Source organism: Homo sapiens, chromosome 13 (genome assembly GCF_000001405.40).
Source record: "Homo sapiens chromosome 13, GRCh38.p14 Primary Assembly".
NCBI lineage: Eukaryota > Metazoa > Chordata > Mammalia > Primates > Hominidae > Homo > Homo sapiens.
This window is the reverse complement of record NC_000013.11, coordinates 29407693-29431561: the sequence shown is the minus strand read 5'-3', so window position 1 is coordinate 29431561 and position 23869 is coordinate 29407693. Positions and strand designations below refer to the sequence as shown.

Sequence of the window (23869 nt, the reverse complement as noted above, 5' to 3'; positions counted from 1 at the left end):
AGAAACAGGTATGGTCAGTACCGCATAACTTTCACTTAATTATACTCCAGTCTTGTGCTAATGTTTAATTGTTCTGTGTGTGTTATTGTTGCCTACCCACTTATAAGTTCTCTGGAAAAGGTAGAAATACAACCAAACCAATTATCGGTAAACTACATAAGGGCCGGCCATGCCTTTTAAGAATTATTTGATGGTCCCAATAGTAACAAAGCACAGAGTAAACCAGTAATAAATATTTCCAATGGATAGGTCTTTATAAGTTGGAAATACATAAGCACAAACAACTTTTAAACAATTTGTTCACTTAATTTTTTTCATTATATACTCTAGGCAAGATTCCAGTTTCCCCTAATAAATTAATGCTAAATAAGCATCCTCATATTCATAATTTTTAGTTGATATTCAGTTTTCGGTCAGATCTCTGAAACTGATTACTTTAAAAGTATCTTTAATTGTCCCACCATGTTTTTCAGAACAGCTTTAGCTGCACTATGATCAAACTGTTAAATTGTTTTGATTTCTCAAAATGAAGTTTGCTATTTTGATCTATATGAAGTTCTGAGGAGATATTTATTGTTTTAACGTTTATTAAGCTAGGTTAAGGTAATCAGAAACAACTCTATCAACAATTTTACCAGGCCTCTTTTAAACTGTGTATCAACATTATTGGGGTTGTTAGAGTTGATTAACAGATTGAAGAACTTTGTTGTGGGATTTGGGAATTCTGATTTCTAGAGTTTGAAGTTGGAATGGAATCCTATCATGCTCCTAGTATACAATACCTGGCCCAATAGGTAACTATCAATTAAATAAATGATTTTGGCATACTGCCTGTGAAGTTATTCTGCAAAGTAGGCAACTACATAAAACAATGTGTTTTTTAATTTAAAAAGAAAGTCCTCAATTCATTAAAAGAGCACCTGTGAAAATATATGTATAAAACTTCAAATGGGAATACTATTCTGAAATATAGCAAAGAAAAGACAAGAAATGTAGGTGTGAACATAATGAAAAAGCTGGTAAAAGCAGTGTAAGTTTTAAAGTTTTCATCAGTAAAAAATAATTTGTATAGAACTGGAAGTTTCAAAGCTAAAACACTGGAAAGTTACTTAAACATCATACTGCTAAAGAGATGAAGTAACATTAAATTATCTTCCAAAATCTCTGAATTCAAGAATGACATAGGGATAATCATTTTCAAGAACTTGATTTAAAACAAAATAGGGAAACAATGTAAAACAAAATAGGGAAACAGACTCCTTTCGAAACATACTTTCTCAAACCAAAAGTCCTCCATATTACAGCCTCTATTTCTAAAACTTTTGCATTAGGATTTAGAAATATGAAATTTATAATACTGTTTTACATGTAGCAAATCTTTCCCTTTTATTGTAATTATTGTTGTAAGTCTTCAATACTCTTTTGTGACCACTTCGCAAAAGGCTTAATCACTTCAGTGTTAGATGTGCAGACAATTGAGCGCAAATGCTTTATATTTCTTTTTGTTAAAAGCACATAAATGTGTATATAAATATTTTAGTTCATACTCATGGTAGCAAAGCCAAATCCACTGAAGTAGTTATTTCTATTAGAGCAAAACTAGTAAGTGACTTTTAAGGTATCAGTTTAATTTTCCTAGGTGGTAAGTAACCCTACTTTAGGTCAAAGTTCATAAGCAGACTGGTAACTAAGATGCTCCCAAGTGACCGCTTTTTGATGAGCATGTATATTAAGCCATATATTTTCCTTCTCCTGGTCACATACCTCAAGCTATCTAGATAGCTGATGTCCACATGAGTAGGAAGAAGGCAATTTCAACAATTCAATTGTGAAATCCCATTTCATGCATCTTGTAGAAATCCAAATATGCATGACAATAAAGTATCTCACAGAGACAAGAGTTCTTGCCAACAGATTTCTAGTAATGAAATTAAAAGCATATCCTAATCCCTCTGCTAGCTCACAAGAGTAGGCAAATGTCAAAAGCAAAGAAAGGCTTTGTGTTGGAATTGCTATATAATTCTCATGCATACTCTATTTTCAGTTCCCTGGCTGTGAATTTTTCTCCTGTGAAGACTTGAACACACCCTCAGACTCTCTCTGGCTTTTTAAGTTTTCACTTCTATGTTTATTCATCTCTCTGTGATGCAAAGAAGTACAGAGAGAACAACTATACTGTGTGCTTTCTTCTCTGATGTGAAGAATGTAAATTACAAGAATGAGTGCTGTTTTGAAAAAAGAGTGGTAAACTTTCAAAGTTAGCACTTGGCGAAGAAAAACATGCCTAACTAATCTAAATTCCCCAGTGGAACGTCTTAGGTTTCACAGGTACATTAAAATGCATTAAGAATATTGCAAAGATCTCTTGGCAGTTCTGATTTCAAGATGTTGGAGCAGAATCCTACTATTTCAGGAAAATGCAACAGTTACATTTGAGACTGCAGGAATACAGAATTATGTAAGGCACTGCAGAGTATGTGAGACCAAATGTTTCTGTGAACACCACTCACAATTCAGCACATTGGAACGAGTAAAGGGAGCCTCCTGTTCACCAACAAAGCGCACACGCATGCTAGGGGGACAGGCACCGAGGTGGCTGGCTCACGGCTTTCTCTCTGCCCTTGCAAAGGAGGAGGGGGAAGAAGAGAGAGGGAAGGCAAAGTACCGTCTTGTCCAGGCACTGAAGGCAGTTATAAGGCTTGCAGCAGCAATGGCCCATCCCGGCAGGCTGGCTGGCAAGGGGACCTCCTTCATTCAAGGTGTCAGCGGGCAACTCCTAAGCCGAGGTACCGGCACACACGAAAGGGGCGCGCCGCTGGGAGCTGTCACAACTTCCATGTGGTTCCCTTGGCTACCTTATTTCTCCTAAACTTCAGGAATCCAGGAGGCAGAGGAATGAGAGGAGGAGGAGAGCAGGGCAGCAGCGATCAGATCTTGCTGCTGCGGGAGGGAGGGCGGGCGGGAGCCAGGAAGGGAGGGGACAGGCAGGAGGGAGGGTCACTTTGCCACTGGAGTCCTCAGGGTGAGGCAAATCAATAGTCGCATAACCACAGAGCATTTACCAATGCCGGCTCCCTAAAAGGACAGCCTGCTCTCCTCTGGGTGCGCGGCCGCTCCCAGCCCTCCCCTGGCGGGGATGCGCCTCCGCACCGCGCAGACACGCCTGGAGCGGACGCAGGAAGCACAAAAGGCGAGCCTGGGCTTCAGGGCACTGCCTGGGGACGCCCGAAAGGGCTGCCAGGGCTTGGCTCTGCTGCAATCCTAGCTCCTATTTTTCTGGGAAGTAAAAATATTTATAAACGTGATGTATATGGCCTCTCCTCCCATGAAACTCTTCTCAGAATATTTGTTGCTAATGGGAACCGCCAATTTCTCATTTTCTAATTTGCATGCCATGAACAATTTTTTTTGCCTTCTTTGATGAAATCTTCATATTTAAAATATAACTGTGAAGTCGCTTGCCTAGGCTGACATACACACACCATTCAACTGGCTTGAGTAATTAAAATTGGGGCTTGGGGCAGGTATCTCTCCTAGGCAAACTGGCATAAAAGCCTTGAAGGACTTGATCTTTCTAGTTTTTCACACAGTTAAAAATCAGAAAAGGAAAGAATCAGGGAGCAAATGTTTGTTTTTGTTTTCTCAAAAAAGACTTGGTATTTAAAAATATATTTGTGTAATCCTGAAAGTAAAAGAAGCAAATATTTACATGATTGATTTTATATGCCCTGATACCCCTCAGAGGAGAAATCTTGAAATTTCTCATGTTTAGAAATACACAATTACAGTTTTGCCCACTAAATTGCCTAAGGCTGTAAACAGACAATAGTTGTTAGAACTAGATGATTTTACTAACTTAACTGAGATTTTCCAAGCAGATTTTAATTAAGTAGTATAGGCTCAGAGAAAGGCAAGTATTTAGTGATCACATAGGAACAGACTGGAATGTTTGCCTTAAACTTGAAAGAATAAACGGAAACCTTTCTTTAAAGCTAACAGGTAAATTAGCATAATCCTTCAGGAAGGCGACTTGGCTGTACCTATCAAAATATTGAATGTACGCACACCTTGACCCAACATTTGCACGTCTATGCTATAATAATATTCACATAAATACACAAGCTTGTATGCATAAGGATCTTCAATTCAGCATCGTTGGTAACAGCATAAAAATGTGGAATATTTTAGATTTTCAATGCCTTTCTATTATATGGAAAGATGATATACATTGTTGACTGAGAAAGCAAAGTTTTATAAAAAAACAAAGCAAACATACACATTTGCATATGTTTGGAATAAAGCTTTGGAAAGATTCACACATTCATGGAATAGCAGCCGACCCTTAAGGAATGGAAAACAGGAGGGAGTGAATGTCCACTTTTTACCCTCTCGTGAGCATGTTTTATTTTTACTGTTTTAAAACAAAGTGTGCCAGGGAAAAGGCAGGGACCCCCATCTGGGCTCTGTGATGTTGTGAGGTCCAGAGCTCCTTCCTGCTCACTTGGGCTAATGCTCCTTGGCAGTGAGCTTGGGCAGACCTCAGAGGGAAAGAAGCTCACAGTACCTTGAGCTCAAACCTGGGCTGAAAGCTGTTCCTAGGGCTTTTGAAATCTGTGAGAAAAACTTTATGTTGCAAAAAGTGGTGGCTTAGTATACCCCCACGCTCATAGCAGCATTATTCACAATAGCCAAAACGTGGAAGCAACCAGAACATCCACCAACAGAAGAATGGATAAACAAAATGTGGTGTATGCATGCAGTGGAACATTAGTCAGCCTTAAAAAGGAAGGAAATTCTGACAGGTGCTACAAAACATGCCTAACTAATCTGACACGTGCTACAAAACAAGCCAAACTCATCTAAATTCGTCTTAGGATGAATGAAACTTGAGGATATCATGTTAAGTGAAATAAGCCAGTCACAAAAGGACAAATACTGTACGATTCCACTTATATGAAGTACCTAGAGTGGTCGAATTCACAGAGACAGAAAGTGGAATGGTGGCTGCCAAGGGCTGGGGACAGGGAGAAGTAGGGAATTGTTGAATGAATACAGAGTTTTAGTCTTAGAAGATGAAAAATTCTGGATTCGCACTACAATGCGAATATACAGACTGTTCCCCACTTATGATGGTTCCATTTATGACTGTTCCACTTTACGATGGCGTAACACATTCAGAAAACTCCTTGACTTACAATGGGGCTAAAGCAGGATAAATCCCTCGTAAACTGAAAATACCGTTAAGTTGAAAGTGCATTGTCATAACCCTGTTGTAAGTTGAGGATCATGTGTACTTAACAATAAACTGTACACTCAAAAATAGTTAAGATGGCGAATCTTTTGTTATATTTTATCACAGTTTTTCTAAAAGAGAAGTGGTAGCTTGCATTTATCCGGAGGCAAACAGCTCCTGAGCTGCAGGTATGGATTAAATCAAGACAGAGCAAAGCCCTATTGTGGACAGAGCCAGGTGGGGTGGGAAGGCCTGCAAAGCTAACTAAACTCCCTACATTGATTTAAAGAATGCTTTCTTCCAGCTCAGTCGTCTTCCTGCAGATAGTTCCCTTTAGGAAACAGTTTTATTCTAAATTAGAGTTTAGAGTGCTCTATACTAGAAAATTACTTCTTATTCTTAGGAGATGTATGAGAGCCCTTGCTAACCAGTTGCTCACAGGAGATTAGCACGAGACTGGAGGATCTACACAAAGAGAGGCCATTTTCAGCTTCTCTTCTTGGGCACAGAGGGCACTGAAGGGCACGGCACTTCCGTAGTCCAGTCCTTCCTATGTTGGTGAAATCGCACATGTACTATGATCTCAGTGCACATGACCCAGATTCTGAGAAATGTATTCATGTTGTAGAATTGTGCCTTGTTTTCTTTACATGTTATAAAAATTTCAAACATACTGAAAAATAGAGGTAAATACCAAAGGTCTTCATATCCCTATTTCCAGGTTCAACCGTCATCAAGGTGTTGGCACACTTGTTTCATCTATCCTTTTTTACTTCTATTTTTTTACTTTTTCTTCATATACCCATCACCCCAATTCAGCAATTACCAAGACTGTTACCTTATTTTCACTTGTCCCTTGTCTTTCTTTTTTCTTTGTTAAAGTATTTCTTTCTTTTTTTTGTATGTTTGTTTGTTTGTTTGTTGAGACAGAGTCTCACTCTGTCACCCAGGCTGGAGTGCAGTGGTGCCATCTCAGCTTAATGCAAACTCCGCCTCCCAGGTTTAAGCAATTCTCAGCCTCCCAAGTAGCTGGGATTACAGGTGCGTGCCATCACGCCCAGGTAATTCTTGTATTTTAGTAGAGATGGGGTTTCACCATGTTGGCCAGGCTGGTCTCAAACTCCTTACCTCAAGTGATCTGCCCACCTTGGCCTCCCAAAGTGCTGGGATTACAGGTGTGAGCCACTGCACCTGGTCTGTTAAAATATTTCTATGTTAAAGTATTTTCTAAGCAAAACCCTACATGCTGTAGTATGCATTGCTAAAAATTATGAACATTTTCTTACCTAACCACAATGCCATTAAAACAATAAAAGTGACAATAATTCCTTGGTATCCAATACCTAGCTCATAAAAAAATTTTGCTGGTTTCTAAAAAAAAAATTTTCCTGGTTTCTTTGTTTGAATCAGGATCCAAACTAGGTCTATGTATTACATCAGGTTTTAAGTATCTTGGGTCTCCTATGAACAGCAATCCCCACCCCTCCTCTCCTTTTGCTGCCATGCCATTGACTTGTTCAGAAACTGGGTCAGCCGCCCTGTAGAATGTCCTACATGCTGGATTTGCCTCTTTGTTTCTTTGTAATGTCACTTCACCTGTTCCTGCATCCTTTTAAGTGAAATTTAGCTCTCAAATCTGGGTTAGATTCAAGTTCAATTTTGGGGATAACATCTCAGAGGTGATGCTGTGTGCTTCATGTTTCATTCTGTCGGGAAGCACACTGTGTCTGGGTGTTCCAATTTTAGTGAGCTAGAGTGGATCAGGATGTGATAGCCTCATCTCCACTGTTAAGTTCCCCATCAACCTTTCATATAATGGCTTCATTTGTTAATAATTATTACCTGAATCAATTATTTCACTGGGGACTGCAACATAATGTTCTGATTATTTTTGTCTTTTTGCATTTATTAGATGGAATTTTTATATAAAAAAAGAATTTTTCTTCAACTGGGGTGACTTCTTTGATATACATTTTTAAATTGATACATATTTGTACACATTTATGGGGTACGTTATATTTTGATACATGCATACAATATGTAGTAATCAAATCAGTGTAATTAGGATATCTATCACTGCAAACATTTATCATTTCTTTGTGTTGGGAACATTCTAAATCTTATCTTCTAGCTATTTTGAAATATACAATAAATTATTGTTGGCCAGGCATGGTGGCTCACACTTATGATCCCAGCACTTATGGAGGCCGAGGTGGGCAGATCACTTTGAGGTCAGGAGTTTGAGACCAGCCCAGCCAACATGGTGAAACCCCATCTCTACTAAAAAAAAAAAAAAATTAGCCAGGCATGGTGGCAGGCACCTGTAATCCCAGCTATTCAGGAGGCTGAGGCAGGAGAATCCCTTGAACCCTGGAGGCCGAGGTTGCCGTGAGCCGAGATCGTGTCACTGCATTGTAGCCTGGGCGACAAAAGTGAGACTCCATCTCAGAAAAAAAAAAAAAAAATTACTGTTAACTACAGTCACCCTACTGTGCTATCCAACACTAGAACTTATTCTATCTAACTATATGTTTGTACAACTAGGGCAATTTTAATTTCCTGCAATATAGTTTGTACAGGAAGGACAGGATAAATGCCTAATCATCTTTTACATGCCAATTTCCTGAATAAAGACTGTGGAAATGGTACCCAATGAGGTTGTTGTTGAGATTGTTGTTTGTTTCCTCTCACCTTTTAAAAACATCATTATAAATTATAAACTCATGTTTTTATTTTGACATACACAATATGTTTTAGTCCATTGCACTAATTACTGTTTTTTGATGCTCAGTGTATCCCCTTTTTGGCCTGCAGCCCTTCTTTTTGGTCCCTCTGTCCTTTTAGCACAACTCACTCGTCTACCTTCCTTGCTTCCTGACACAAGAAATCCTAGGCTCATCTTATGTATTTCCTCCTCCAGTTGTGCAGTCATCTATCCTTGCTAGGAGCCCTAGTTCCTTCTAGCTGGCAATGACAATTAGGTACCACAAACAATGGGTGCTGTTTGTTGTCTTTTGAGAGCCACTTGAAGGGAGCGAGATTTCTTTTGAAGGAAGTGAGCCTTCCCATAGACAAAATGTCCTTTGAAGAAATCACTGAATAAATCAGCATGGGGCCTTGGGCTAGGCTGAGAAGGAAGCAGCTCCTTCTCTTGGAGCTTTCAGAGGCTGGGGCCTAAATTCCAGGTAGAGGAAAAATACTCAGTGAAATTCATTTTGAGAGAGATAAACTGGTCCTGATAATATGGCAGCAAGCTAAGGGCCATGTAGGGAGGTCCCCTCTGAATAAAAATTCTCCAGGGACTCACCCAAATGCTTGGATACCTGAAAAAAGACTAAACTTGAAGGCAAATACAATGAAGGTTTAGACTGTTGTAATTTGGCATAAAAAGAAACCATGGGCTGGGCGTGGTGACTCACGCCTGTAATCCCAGCACTTTGGGAGGCCAAGGCAGGTATCACCTGAGGTCAGGAGTTTGAGACCAGCCTGGCCAACAGGGTGAAACCCTGTCTCTATTAAAAATTGTAATCCTAGCTACCCAGGAGGCTGAGGCAGGAGAATTGCTTGAACCCAGGAGGCAGAGGTTGCAGTAAGCTGAGATCATGCCACTACACTTCAGCCCAGGCAACAGAGAAACAGGGCCAGATTCCATCTCAAAAAAAAAAAAAAAAAAAAAAAAAGAAAAGAAATCATGACATCACAGGCTTATGAAATTTGGGACATTTTGGCTCCCAATATTTAAAAAAGTTTGCGGTGATTTTTACTCCTGGCATATTTTCTTGCATTGAAGTAGCAACAAACATTTAGAAAAGTCATAGGAAAGCCTAATGGTGGGTCTCCTTGGAGAAAACTTTATGAACACTGTGTTTTGGAGCAATAACTAATGATAAGCATTACCTACCTGATCGACAACAGATGCCCGGCCCTGTGCTTAACGGCTTGTGCACTGTATCTCACGTAACTCTCACAAAACTCTGTGAGATAAGCACTATTATCATCTCCATTTTACAGATGAGTAAATGAGGCTCTGAGGTTGCACAGCCTGTCAGGTGTACATAAAGCCAGGAAGTGATTATGAGGGGTCATGAACTCGGATCTAACTCTAAAGCTTATGTCTTAAGCCACTACGCTTTACTAACTGCATTGTAATTTGGAAGCCTTCCATCTACAAGGCCTGTAGAACTTCAGGCTTGTGTGATAACCTGGATAAGGAATCTGGGCATAGGGAAATGTAAAAGGAAATTCAGACATATAAATGGAATTGCCCCATATTTTTCTATCTTAGAGCAAGAGCCTCTATGTCAATGCTTTATAAAAAGTACATTTACAAACAAATATACAAACAACCTAAAAACTGACATAGTAGAAACATGCAGGTCAATGTTAAAATGTTCAATTTTATTAGTTCTGTTTCTTTGTCTTCCTTAAACTTGGAATTCCTTTCCCTCCCCTGCCCTCCGTCATTGTAGTCAGGCTCAAGTTTCCTTGGCTTAAACTCTGCTCCCCAGTACTCCTTAGCACCACCTCACCTCCTCCAGGGCTCTGCCCAACCCTCCAATTTGGAGTGAATTCCCTCTTTCTCTGTGATTTCATGCATTCCATATGCTCTTGCCCCAGGATTTCCTGCCTGATATCATAATAATTGTCTATCTTTGTCTTCTACAAAGTATCACAGCCTCCTTGCTATGCCACACTCATGTTTACACCCAGGACACCTATGACCTGCCTTGAAGATAGGTCTCTATGAACATTTCCTAGGGCAATGCAGGATGGGACCTTGAAGGAGTCAAAGCCGAAGGTGGCTCTGTGGCAGAGGCATTTTGGTGTTCTATGCAGTTTGTGAACCTTGGTACCATTTGCAGGAGGTCAAAGAGTTAAAAATTGTATCGCAGTCTCACTATTTATTTCAAGAGAAAACCATGAAAAATGATCATGAAAGAATCTCTTACAAATTGTCAAGGCAACCATCTGTTTATTTGGGTTCCTCCATCCAGACCCCTCCTTTTTCCATGCATCTAAAATATGAGCAGGATCTCTAGGGCTGGATCTTAGCAAAGGGGACTGCCAGGGCCAGGAAAATATGCGTAGCTTTTACCAAACACAATCCATCTAGATTTTAATGAGGTGGGAATGGGCTGCAAAGGAAAAATAGAAAACAGAAATTTTTAAACTGGGAATGATGGGTAGTTACGATCATCCACACACAGACAATAGATGCTCTGAAGCACCTTTGATATAATAACCAGGATTTAGAAAATTAAAAGAGAAAAAAGAAGAGAGAAATGGCATATGTGTTTTTGCTCTGAGATATGTTCTCAGATACTTGTCAAAAGAGAACTAAAAAAATTTCACTTCTCTGTAATACCCAAATAGGAAGGTTGCTACTGATGTAAGATAATCTTTTTTTCCCTGTCTGTTAGTTTTTGACAGTACCCTTTTTTTCCCTTTTAAGTCAGTGACTAGGATGATTACAGGAGAGGCAGCCTCCTTAAGTTTCTGTATATTTGGAGGAGCTGACTACTCTCATAAGAGAAGTGAAATTCAAAATTATCTTTACTAGCTAGATGAATAGGTTGGACAATATTGGACAACTGATAGGTAAAATCAGATAGAGGGATGGGAAGCAGCTGGCAGAGACCCCAAGTGCATCTGTCTATTTGACATACGTTAAATAGAAAGAATGATCCCAGTGAACCATAAGCTGAATATCAGTCAACAAACAATGTGACTCTTGCTATAAAGAAAGAACGGAGGCTGGGTGCAGTGGCTCATACCTGTAATCCCAGCACTTTGGGAGGCCAAGGCAGGTGATCACTTGAGGTCAGGAGCTTGAAACCAGCCTGGCCAACATGGTGAAACCCTCTCTCTACTAAAAATACAAAAATTAGCTGGGCGCGGCAGCGGGGGCCTGAAATCCCAGCTACTTGGGAGGCTGAGGCAGGAGAATCGCTTGAACTGAAGAGGCAGAGGTTGCATTGAGCTGAGATCGCACCACTGCACTCCGGCCTGGGTGACAGAGTGAGACTCTGTCTCAAAAAAAAAAAAGGAAAGAAAGAAAAGAAAGAAAAAGAAAGAAAGAAAGAAAGAAAGTAAGTTAAGGAAGGAAGGAAGAAAAAAGAGCAGTTTCAACATAGATATCAGGATAGATTTCAGTTTGATTTTCAGCTGGGTGATTTTGGGTAGGTTACTTAACTCTCTCAGAACCTCAGTTTTCTTCTCTATAAGATGGAGATAAAACTATCTACTATATAAGGTTTCTGGAATGGTTTTCTAATTTGATTAAATTTGAAGATGCTAATGACTCTATTTTCAGTAGAAAAGAGAGCACTGATAGTCCACAGCTGAACTGTTTATGGGAAGATGCAAAATATCAGCATTGGATACTCATCAGTCACTTAAAAGAAGCAAGGCTGCTTCTGTACATGACAGTTTCAATTTTTTGTTTAATTAATGAACATAATGATGTTGGCTGGTTGCTCCTAATGTCACTAGACACAGCAGTGCAAGAAAAGGATGATCTCAGGGATTCAAATTCCCAGCTCAAGTGTTGCCTAAATAACGTAAGAACTTCTACATGTGTCCTGAAGAAGACCCTTATCCTTTTAACTGCAGGGCTGACATTGCTGAAACTCAAACACAAAATTTCATTCTGCCACTGGCTGAATGACAACACAAGTTGAACCCCAGCAACAGTAGCTATTGTCTACTGTTAAAGTGAAAGCACTGCTTTGGAAAGAATGGGAGCCCGTGAACTGGGATGGAGACATGTGGGAAGGCCCTGATGAAACTGAGGACATGGATTCTGCTGAGTGTTCTCTGCCAGTGGAAGAGGTCTCCTCAGCCCTGGCAGAACTGGTCTCCCCACCTCCAATGGAAGTGGCCACCCTAACCCCAGAGGAAATGGCCTTCCCACCTTCAGTGGTATCAATGGTATCAACCTCTCCACCTCCAGTCTTTCCACCTCTGTTCTGAGGGGATTAACCCCACACTACCTGAGGAAACTGTAATGGTCTCTCCTGAGGCAGATGCTGTGCAAGACTACGTTGACTCTCCCCAGGATCCACCCTGCCACTCCTCTTTGCTTCTAGACCTGTAATGAGACTCGAGTCCCAGCAGGTGCCTAAAGATGAGGTACAATGTATGACCCATGAGGAGGGGCATGACATTCCAAAGGAACTACTGGATTTTTCTAATTTATACAGGCAGAAATCCAAGCAACATGTGTAAAGATGGACACTAAGTGTATGGAATAACGGTGAAAGAAACAAAAAGTTAGGTCAGGCTGAATTTACTGATCTGGGCTCACTAAACAGAGATTCTGATTTAATGTTGCAGCTTCAGGAGTCCAAAAGGGCTCTAACAGTTTGGCTGGCTGAAACACAGACCAAAAGGTAGCCATAGTGAGTGAACTGAACATGCTGGCCATGTCTTGGTTTAATGTAGAGAAAGGGATTCAAAAGCTGAGAGAGAATGGCATGGCAGAGTGGATTTGTCACTTGAGACCTACCCACCCACACGGGGAGGGTCTAGAACGCGGACATTTCACCACAACTGTGAGAAATAAATTTGTGAAGGGAGCTCCAACATCTTAGAAGAACTCTGTGATCCTTCTTCTATGTAAGTCAGATCTCACAGTAACTGGACTGGGAAACCTAAATGCAGCGGGGGTATCTGAACCCTAGGGAAGCGGGGCCAGGTGGAGGCACTCAACTGCTAAAGGCAAGATATGTATGGTTACTGTCATAGACAGCAGAGTCCAAACAGCAATCTGAATAATCTAACTTATGCAGAACTACGGAAGTTGGCTAGCTGATCATGATATTCCTAGAAGTGAAATAGATAGGAAGCCAATTAAATTCTTACTTGATCTGTATGAGCAGAAAAGTTCTGGGTCAAGTGAACAAAGTCTAACCTTAACCATAAAGACAGAGAGTCATGGCCACTCAATTAATTCCCAGACTTGGGCCAGTTTACAGACTCAGAACCCTTTGAATGAAGGGGAAGCTGGATATCCTTGAGGAAATCCCTTCCTCAAGGACCCCAAGACACTACTGAAAATTTCTACTGAAAAATGTAATCTTTTTTCCAGCCTCTAGGGGACCTATTGCCTTTTACCGAGGTAACTGTTCACTGGGAGAAAAGAAATAATCATATTTTTCAAGGACTATTGGGCACTGGCTCTAAACTGACACTAATGCCCGAGACCCCAAACATTGCTGTGGTTTACCAGTTAGAGCAGGGGCTTACGGAGGTCAGGTGATCAACAGAGTTTTAGCTCAGGTCAGGAAATGTAGGCAAGACAAAAGAGTACCAAAAAATCAAAAGATACAAATCCCTTGTTCCAGTTACCCCCCAACTCCACTAAAAAGTCTGGACTTTGTTCCAAGACAAAAGGCACCAAATTAGGACTCTTAAGAAGCAAACCAATACTGCAAAAATAAATGGAAAAAACTGAATAAGCAGATACAGAGTTATTACAAAGAACTAGAAAATAAGATCCAACACATCTCAACTGTTGAAATTTTTTTCCAAGAAAATAGCCATGAAGCAAGAACATTCAAAATGAGTTAAATGTACTAAAACTGGCATTTGGGATATGAAAAAAGATCTTGAATAAAAAATACAAAATGAATAATATAAATGGACAAAGAACAAAAATATAATAAAGAGTTGATTAATTTAGGAAAGCAATGAAAGAAAATGACAAAGTTATCTCAAAAATGAAGATTAAATTACAAGGTGCCCAGAGTAAGATAAACTAACATGAAAATTTACTAAGGGGCATTTTAAAAGGTAGGAAAACAACCAAGAACATAAAAATGAGAAAAATAAAAGAATACCAAAGGTCACAGGGAAAACAGAGAAAATGGAAAACAGATAAAGAAGGATTAATACATAATTAGACTATCTGAAAAGAAAAAATAAACCAATACTAAAATAGTTTGGATTTCACCCTCTCTAAATCTCCTGTTGAAATGTGGTCCCCAGTGTTGAAGGTGGGACCTGGTGGAAGGTGTATGGGTCATGGGGAAGAATCTCTCATAAATGGCTTGAAGCCCTCCCCATGGTAAGGAGTTTGCATGAGAGCTGGTCATTTAATAAGCCTGCACCTCACTCTTCTCTCTCTTGCCCCCTTTCTCTCCATGTGATGCACTGGCTCCCCCTTCACGTTCCACCATGATTGTAAGCTTTCTGAGGTCCTCACCCAAAGCCAAACAGAAACAGATGCAGGTGCCATGCTTGCACAACCTGCAGAACTGTGAGCCATAAACCTCTAAATTATAAATTATCCAGCCTCAGGTATTCCTTTACAGCATTGCAAAATGGACCAATACAAATGCTTAAAACTATAATATAAGAAAACTTTTCAGATAATTGAAACGTACTATTGAAAGGGCCCACTGGGTACTTGGGAAAGTTAACCCAGAGATAGCAACTCTAAGACTTATTAAACCTGTTAGAATTCAGAGACTGAAAACAAAACAAAACAAAACAAAACAAAACCTCTAGGCAAAAAGGTCACTTAATTATAAGGGCAAAAGTATTCGATATTCAGAGCAAGACAACAAATAGAGCAGTATTTTAAAAACAAACAGACAAAAAGCTCAACGAAAGAAAATATAGATCTTCATTTTATATAAAGTTAAGTTGTCCAAGTATCAAGGCTACTGGCAAAGTGTGAAACACACAAAACCTTAGGGAATCTTGAAACTGTGAGTTTTTTCTTGAGGCATTGGATAGTGTATGAGCTTTATTCACCTGATAGGTGACTGGAAATTTTTCAGCAAAAGGACTGATATTAGCATATATAAATATATGCTATATATAATATGTGCTATATATATATGCTATACATAATATGTGCTATATATATGCTATATATATGTGCTACATATATGTTATATATAATTATAGATCTAAGACAAAAAGTCAAATTGAAGGTTGAAGACTAATGTACAAATGCTATATGTCTTGACAAATAGAAATAATGCAATTAAAAACTGGCTAAGGGATGGAAGACAGAATAAAGAGAGTAAAATAAGTTCATTCATTGTTGTAGAGGCAACAGGTGGGAGTTGAAGATACAATTAAAAACTGGTGGCCAGGCATGGTGGCTCACACCTGTAATTACAGCACTTTAGGAGGCCAAGGCGGGTGGATCACCTGAGGTCAAGAGTTCAAGACCAGCCTGGCCAACATGGTGACACCCTGTCCATACTAAAAATACAAAAAAAAAAAAAAAAAATTAGTGGGGTGTGGCGGTGAGTGCCTGTAATCCCAGCTACTCGGGAGGCTGAGGCAGGAGAATCACTTGATGGGAGGCAGAGGTTGCAGTAAGCTGAGATCGTGTCACTCCAGCCTGGGTGACAAGAGTGAAACTCCATCTTAAAGTAAAATAAAATAAAATAAAATCTGGCAAGCTAGGTGCTCAAAGGTTAACTAAGAAAACGGGACAATGGACATTCAAAAAGGTGCAAATATAACCACTAGAACAACAACAACAAACTTCTTAAATTTCATTTTTCATAATTGAAGAGTAAAGCAGATAAAAGAAACACAAGAAATATGCATAATATATATAATTATAAAACATTATGTAGACTCAGACCAAACATATCAGCTATACCAATAAATCTAATGGACTAAAATCACCATTGGAAAGAAACACATTTTCTGTTCAGCTCACAATTTAAAAGACTCAACTATATACAACATCCAAGATATATAAAACAAAGTGATTAAGAAGGCAAATTATAAATGGATAGATAAAGCAATTCCAGGAAAATGGAAACAACAAGAAAGCAGAGGTAGCAATCTGATATCCAACGAATAAGGATTCAAGACTAAAAATGTTAAACACAACAAAAATTAGCACCTTTTAATGCTGAAAGCCAAAATCGTGATGAAGATGTAACACTTATAAATATTTATGCTCCAAAAAACACAGTAGCCAACTTTATGAAGGAGTTTTTCTACTCTTGATTCAAAATGGATAAAGTGGATTAAGAAACCCTCAACATAATCCATTATGTAAATCTTATAGCTATATATTGAACTTTATACTTTGATAATAGTGACTATACCTGTTTTTCAAATGCCTTGAAACCATTTATCAAAATTGATCACAAAGAAAATACTAGTAAGTTCCATGAGTTAGAAATATTACAAACAACATACTGAACACAATGCAAAAAGGAAAAAAAGAAATTATTAACCAAAACTAAAAACAAAAAGATCTTCCACCTGAAAAATTCAGGAAGCCTATTAAACAACTCTTGAGTGAAAGGGAAAATGCAAACTGAAATTAAAGAATTTCTAAAAAAAAAAACCAAACCAAAAAAACCCCCCAAACCGAAACATATCGGACACATTTAAAGCATATATCAGAGGAAAATTTATAGAATGAAACACTTTCATAAGTAAAATATAAAAAAGTAAATAAATGACTTAAATACCTAGTTAAAAAACTAGAATACAACAAAATAAACCAAAAGGAAGCAATTAGAAGGAAATAATAAAGATAAAAGCAGAAATTATTAAAGTAAAGAATAGAAAACCAGTAGACTTACTTGAAAAACATTAACAAAATAGCAACTGCTAACCAACCTGAACAGGGAAAAAGAACACAAATAACAAAATAATAAATGACAAGGGAAAATAGAAAATAATTAACAACCGTAAGATATATTTGAAATTCTATATTAAAGACATAGGTTCCCAAAATTGAGCCCATCAGAGAAAGTTTAAATAGAGCAAATTTCCCATAATATACAAAAACAATTATTAAACAACTATTGCATACAAAAAACATCAGGGCCAAATATTTTCACTACAGTCTTCTTTTTTTTTTTTTTTTTTTAATTTTTTTTTTTATTATACTCTAAGTTTTAGGGTACATGTGCACATTGTGCAGGTTAGTTACATATGTATACATGTGCCATGCTGGTGCGCTGCACCCACTAACGTGTCATCTAGCATTAGGTATATCTCCCAATGCTATCCCTCCCCCCTCCCCCGACCCCACCACAGTCCCCAGAGTGTGATATTCCCCTTCCTGTGTCCATGTGATCTCATTGTTCAATTCCCACCTATGAGTGAGAATATGCGGTGTTTGGTTTTTTGTTCTTGCGATAGTTTACTGAGAATGATGGTTTCCAATTTCATCCATGTCCCTACAAAGGACATGAACTCATCATTTTTTATGGCTGCATAGTATTCCATGGTGTATATGTGCCACATTTTCTTAATCCAGTCTATCATTGTTGGACATTTGGGTTGGTTCCAAGTCTTTGCTATTGTGAATAGTGCCACAATAAACATACGTGTGCATGTGTCTTTATAGCAGCATGATTTATAGTCATTTGGGTATATACCCAGTAATGGGATGGCTGGGTCAAATGGTATTTCTAGTTCTAGATCCCTGAGGAATCGCCACACTGACTTCCACAATGGTTGAACTAGTTTACGGTCCCACCAACAGTGTAAAAGTGTTCCTATTTCTCCACATCCTCTCCAGCACCTGTTGTTTCCTGACTTTTTAATGATTGCCATTCTAACTGGTGTGAGATGATATCTCATAGTGGTTTTGATTTGCATTTCTCTGATGGCCAGTGATGATGAGCATTTCTTCATGTGTTTTTTGGCTGCATAAATGTCTTCTTTTGAGAAGTGTCTGTTCATGTCCTTCGCCCACTTTTTGATGGGGTTGTTTGTTTTTTTCTTGTAAATTTGTTTGAGTTCATTGTAGATTCTGGATATTAGCCCTTTGTCAGATGAGTAGGTTGCGAAAATTTTCTCCCATGTTGTAGGTTGCCTGTTCACTCTGATGGTAGTTTCTTTTGCTGTGCAGAAGCTCTTTAGTTTAATTAGATCCCATTTGTCAATTTTGGCTTTTGTTGCCATTGCTTTTGGTGTTTTGGACATGAAGTCCTTGCCCACGCCTATGTCCTGAATGGTAATGCCTAGGTTTTCTTCTAGGGTTTTTATGGTTTTAGGTCTAACGTTTAAATCTACAGTCTTCTACCAAACCTTCAAAGATGAGATAGTTCCAGTGTTCTATAAATTGCCCTTGAGCTTTAAAAATGCAGAAGGCAAAATAATGTTCCCCTTCCCCTAAAAGATGCCCAAGTCTGAATCCCCAGAACCTATAAGTATGTTATGTTGTATAGCAAAGAGGAATTAAGACTGTAGATAAAATTAAGGTTCTGATTAGCTGATTAGCTGAATTTACCTAGGGAGATTATCCTGGATTATCAAAGAGGGCCCCATGTAATTATAATAGTCCTTAAATATGGAAGAGGGAAGGAAAGAATCAGTGTCAGAGACATGTAATATGAGAAAAACTCAACCGTTGCTGGCTTTTAAGATGGAACTGGGCCATGAGTCCAGGAATATGGGTAGCCTGTGAAGCTGGTAAAGACGAGAAAGTGGATTTTGCCCCAGAGCCTCCAGAAATGAATGCAACCTGCCAATACATGACATGATCATAGCTCAGCATAACCTTGAACTCCTGGGCTCAAGCAATCCTCCTGCCTCAGCCTCCGGAGTAGCCAGAACTACAGTCACAAGCCACCATGCCAGGCTAATTTTTAAAAATTTTTTGAAGAGACAGGGTCTTGCTGTGTTGCCCAGGCTGGTCTCGAACTCCTATGCTCAAGCAATCCCCCTGTCTCAGCCTCCCAAAGCTCTGGGAATTACAGGTATGAGTCACTGCACTTGTCCTTCCTTATTCTTTTAATAATTAAGTATGACCTAATTTTTATACCTAAACCTGATGAAACTCTACAAAAAGAGTAGAAAAAAGGAAAACTGGAGACCAATGTCACTCATGAATACAGATGCAAACGACTGTATAATAGCAAACACAATCTAACACCACAGAATGGAAATAATACATTGTGACCAATTGGGACTTAAGCCAGTAATTTAAGGTTGGTTCCATATTAGAAAACCAATACTGATAGATCTAAGGGGAAAATATTATTATCTCCATAGATGCTGACAAAGTCTTCAACAAAAATTTGATATCCATTCCAGTTAACAGCACTCAAGAAAACAGGAAATGAAGTGTTTTCTTAACTTGATAAAACACCTTAACCTGATAAAAATCCTTAGTTCTAAAGCCACTATTTTACTGAATGTGTAAACAATAGAAGAATTTACATTCAAATCAGGAACAAAGCAAGGATTCCTACTGTCTGCCACCACTATTCATATCATACTAGTGGTATAAGCCAATGTAATTAGAAAAGAGAAATTAATTAGAGGCATACAATTTGGTAAAAAAGTAAAACAGTCTCTATTTTTACATAATATGACAATGTAACTACAAAGCCCTACAAAATCAACAGTGAATGATAAAACTGACTCACACAGTACAATAATTCAATAAGGTAGCAAAATATAAAAGTAACAAAAATCAATAGCCTTCATATGCACAAACATGAATTATTTAGAGAACGCAATGGAAGAGAAAGTCCAATTTAGAAAAGCAGCAAAGAACATTAAATACACAGGAAGAAGCTCATCAAAAATATGCAAAACATCTCTCTGAGGAAAACTTTAAATGAGTCTGAAAAGACACAAAAGTAGACTTAGACAAATGAATGGAAATCATTTCCTGTTCTTGGAAGGATGACTCAGCATCACAAATAAAGATGTCAGTTCTCACTAGGTTAAGTAAGTTTAATGTAATCTCTGTGAAAACACCAACAAATCTGTGTTTTATGGAGTTAGACATATTGATACTAAAGTTCATTTGGCAAAAGCAACATGCGTGCAAGAATATCCAGAAAAATTAAGGAACATTTATGCAGAGGGTCTAGATCTATCAGACATTAAAACATACCACAAAGCCTCTATAATTAAAACAATGTGGTACTGGCTTATGTGTATACCATAGACTGGTGGAATAGAACAGAAAGCTCAGAAATAGACCTAAGGACATATGGAAATTTATTATAAGATAAAGCTGGCATCTTAAATCGCTGAGACAAAGATAAACATTTTAATAAGTAGTGCTGGGTAGCCATTTGAATAAAGATAAAATTAGGTCTACATTACACCTTGTGCCCCGGAACAAACTCCAAATAGATAAGGGATCTAAATTTCAAAATAAAACCACAAAAATACCAAAAAGAAAACAAAAACCCCCAAAACCATGAGTGAATTTCTCTTTTAACAATAGTGTGGGGTTGGGCACAGTGGCTCAAGCCTGTGAGCATGAGCCAGCACTTTGGGAGGCCAATGCAGGTAGATCACCTGAGGTCAGGAGTTCAACACCAGCTGGGCCAACATGGCGAAACCCCACCTCTACTAAAATTACAAAAATTAGCCGGGTGTGGTGGCATGTGCCTGTAACTCCAGCTACTCTGGAGGCTGAGGCACAAGAATTGCTTGAACCCGGGAGGCAGAGGCTGCAGTGAGCCGAGATCGTGCCACTGCACTCCAGCCTGGGCAACAGGGTGAGACTCTGTCTCAAAACAAACAAACAAACAAACAAACAAACAAACAAAACCAATAGTGTGGGAATGACTTTATAACTATGACTAAAAAAACTATGCAATAAAAAACTAATAAATGTGACTATATAATTTTTTTATAAGTTTGGATGAGGAAAATTACCATAGACATAGTCAAAAAAATAACTGACAAACTAGGAGAAAATGTTTGCACCATGTGTCACAGATAAAGGGGTAATATCTGTAATATATAAAAAACTCTTTCAAAATGACAAAACCAAGGATCAAAAACCCAACAGAAAAATTAACAACTTAGAAGAAATATAAAATGGCCCTTAAACATATAAAAATTGTTCTAAGTTTCATATAACTAGAAAAATGCAAACTAAAACAACATTGAGATACCATTTCTCACCTACTTGGCTGCAACTAAAAACTACAGCCTGGGCGCGGTGGCTCACGCCTGTAATCCCAGCACTTTGGGAGGCCGAGGCGGGCGGATCACCTGAGGTCAGGAGTTCAAGACCAGCCTGGCCAACATGGTGAAATCCCATCTCTACTAAAAATACAAAAAAATTAGTCGGTCATGGTGGCGGGCACCTGTAATCCCAGCTACTTGGGAGGCTGAGGCATGAGAATCGCTTGAACCCAGGAGGCAGAGGTTGCAGTGAGCTGAGACGGTGCCATTGCACTCCAGCTTGGGCAACAAGAATGAAATTCTGTCTCAAAAAAAAAAAAAAGTACAACAGCATATTCGATGGGCAAGGGTTCGAGGAAACAGTCACTCTTAAACGTTGCTGGTGTGAATGCAATCTGATCCAATTTTTTGTAGGCGAATTTGGCAAAATCTAATAAAACTATACATGTACTTTCTTTTTAATCTAGAAATTGTACATCTAGGATTTTACCCTGAGGATATATCTTTAACAATACACAAGGTCATTCATTATAGCATTTGTAATTGCAAAATATTAAAATCCAACCTAAATGCCCCTTCCTAGGAGAATGGTCCAACAACTTATGGTATAGTCACTCAATGGAGTACTATGGTTGTTAAAAAAAAAAAAAAAGACGAATGAAGAAAATGTCCATGAACTTATCTGGCATGATTTCCAGAGTATATTGTAAAGCAAAGAAGGCAGGATGTAAAATAATATTCACACTGTAGTATCCTATCTTTTGTGTAAGAAAGAGCATAAGGAAATAAACATGAATCTGCTCCTTTGGATAGGGGTGATAGACCAGCTAATCCCACCACTACAGAGGGTTGATGGGAATGAAACAGAAACAATAGGAGAACCAATGTGTCACATACTCATCAAACTAATCATTAAAATCAACCCAGATGTATGGGGAATCCAAAAGGGAATACAATGAATCTAACTTGTTTTTTTAAAACAAATGAATTATATTAATGACATTAAAGCAAATGGGGAAGAAAAAAATTAACCTAAGTAACTTTGGAAAACAGTATCTTAACTATATAGCATATAAGGCTAAAGATAATAATAACTATACACAAATGGGTGAACAATTTGATTTTTTGTTTTTTTTGAGACAGTTTCACTCTGTCCCCTAGGCTGGAGTACAGTGGCGCAATCTCAGCTCACTGCAACCTCTGCCTCTTGGGTTCAAGTGATTCTCCTGCCTCAGCCTCCCGAGTAGCTGAGATTACAGGTGCTACCACACCTGGCTAATTTTTGTATTTTTAGTAGAGACAGGGTTTCACCATGTTGGCCAGGCTGGTCTCAAACTCCTGACCTCAGGTGATCCACCCGCCTCGGCCTCTCAAAGTGCTGGGATTACAGGTGTGAGCCACCATGCCCAGCTATAAGTGGATGAACAATTGAAACTACTTTGTGCTTAGTTTAGGATAGAGCAAAAGAGTAAGTATATTGTGTGTAATAATAGCCATGTTTTTCATTGTTGGAGAAAGAAGAGTTTCTCACTGCTGAGGAATTGCGTTAAAAATAAGCAAATTGGACACACTAGAACAAACCCTGTGGTGTTGGATTGGAATTCAAGGTCTCAGTATGAACTCATGTTTTTAGTATATATACAAGTAGACAGATACACACGTGTAGAAACTTGCTAAATGACATAGATTTGCATTGCACACAAATGAGAAAAGAATGGGCTATTCAATAAATGAGGCTAGGACAATGGTTATCTATATGAAAAAAAAAAAGTCATGATTTACCTCACCCCATAACAAAAACTGTTTCCAGTTATATTAAAAACTTAAACATGGGCTAGGTTTTGTGGCTCACACCTGTAATTCCAGCACTTTGGATGGTCAAGGAGGGAGGATCACCCAAGCTCAGGGGTTCAAGACCAGCCTGGAGAACACAGCAAGACCTCATCTCTACTACAAATAAAAAACATTTAGCTGAGCATGGTGGCCTGTGCCCATAGTCCCAGCTACTCAGGAGGCTGGGGTGGGAGGATCGCTTGAGCCCAGGAGATGGAGGCCGCAGTGAGCTATGATTGTACCATGGCACTCCAGCCTGTGCAACTCAGCAAGACCCTGTGTCAAAATAATTTTTTTTTAAACCTGAAATTAAACATGTTAAAACATTTAAAAAGATTATAACAAAATATCATTATGCCCTGTTTAGGGAGGGTTTTTTTTTAATCAAGACACAAAAAAAGCACAAGCAATAAAGAAAAATAATGATACATTATATACCCGTTAAAATTAGAAGTTTAGTTTAGAAAAGACACTAAAAATGAAGTGGTAAGTCACAAACTGGAAGAAAATGATTGTAATATGTATAATCCACAAATAAACTAGTATCCAGAATATGTAGAAACTATTTCTAATTGGTAAGCTAAATATAACACGATAGAAAAAAGAACAAAGGATATGAAAAAGCAATTCTCAGAAGAAATGCAAATAATCCATAAACATACAAAAACATAATTCTTAAATAATAATTAGTGAAATGCAAATAAAAGCCACAATATGACACCGATTCAAACCAACAGATTGGCAAAAGTTAGGGTCTGATGATATCTCAGTTGGCTAGTACGTGGAGTAAACGGTACATTCATACATAGCTGGTAGAAGTATAAATTAGTACAATCAGGGCCAGGCGTGGTGGCTTATGCCCGTAATCCCAGCACTTTGGGAGGCTGCGGCAGGTGAATCACTTGGGGTCAGGAATTCAAGACC

General features: G+C 38.6%; 1 protein-coding gene across 12 annotated transcripts in view, besides 1 other annotated feature; it reads right to left on the bottom strand.

The window, feature by feature from the left end:
• MTUS2 (microtubule associated scaffold protein 2) overlaps positions 1–23869 on the bottom strand; it is a 685985-nt gene that overhangs the window by 74386 nt on the left and 587730 nt on the right. Inside the window, exon 1 of one of the 12 annotated variants that reach the window (NM_015233.6) lies at positions 2666–2902. The exons of the other annotated variants lie outside the window; for them this stretch is intronic. Coding sequence (NP_056048.1) covers positions 2666–2719 — 54 coding nt within the window. The 5' untranslated portion in view covers positions 2720–2902. Of the gene's footprint in view, positions 1–2665; positions 2903–23869 lie in introns of those variants that run through there. 12 annotated transcript variants of the gene reach the window in all.
• Positions 8011–8563: an enhancer, noted in NCBI's record as "OCT4-NANOG hESC enhancer chr13:29997136-29997688 (GRCh37/hg19 assembly coordinates)". NCBI's record gives its function as "activates a minimal SCP1, AML or CMV promoter by ChIP-STARR-seq in primed H9 embryonic stem cells {active_cell/tissue: H9 hESC(primed)}" and the evidence as "EXISTENCE:reporter gene assay evidence [ECO:0000049][PMID:30033119]".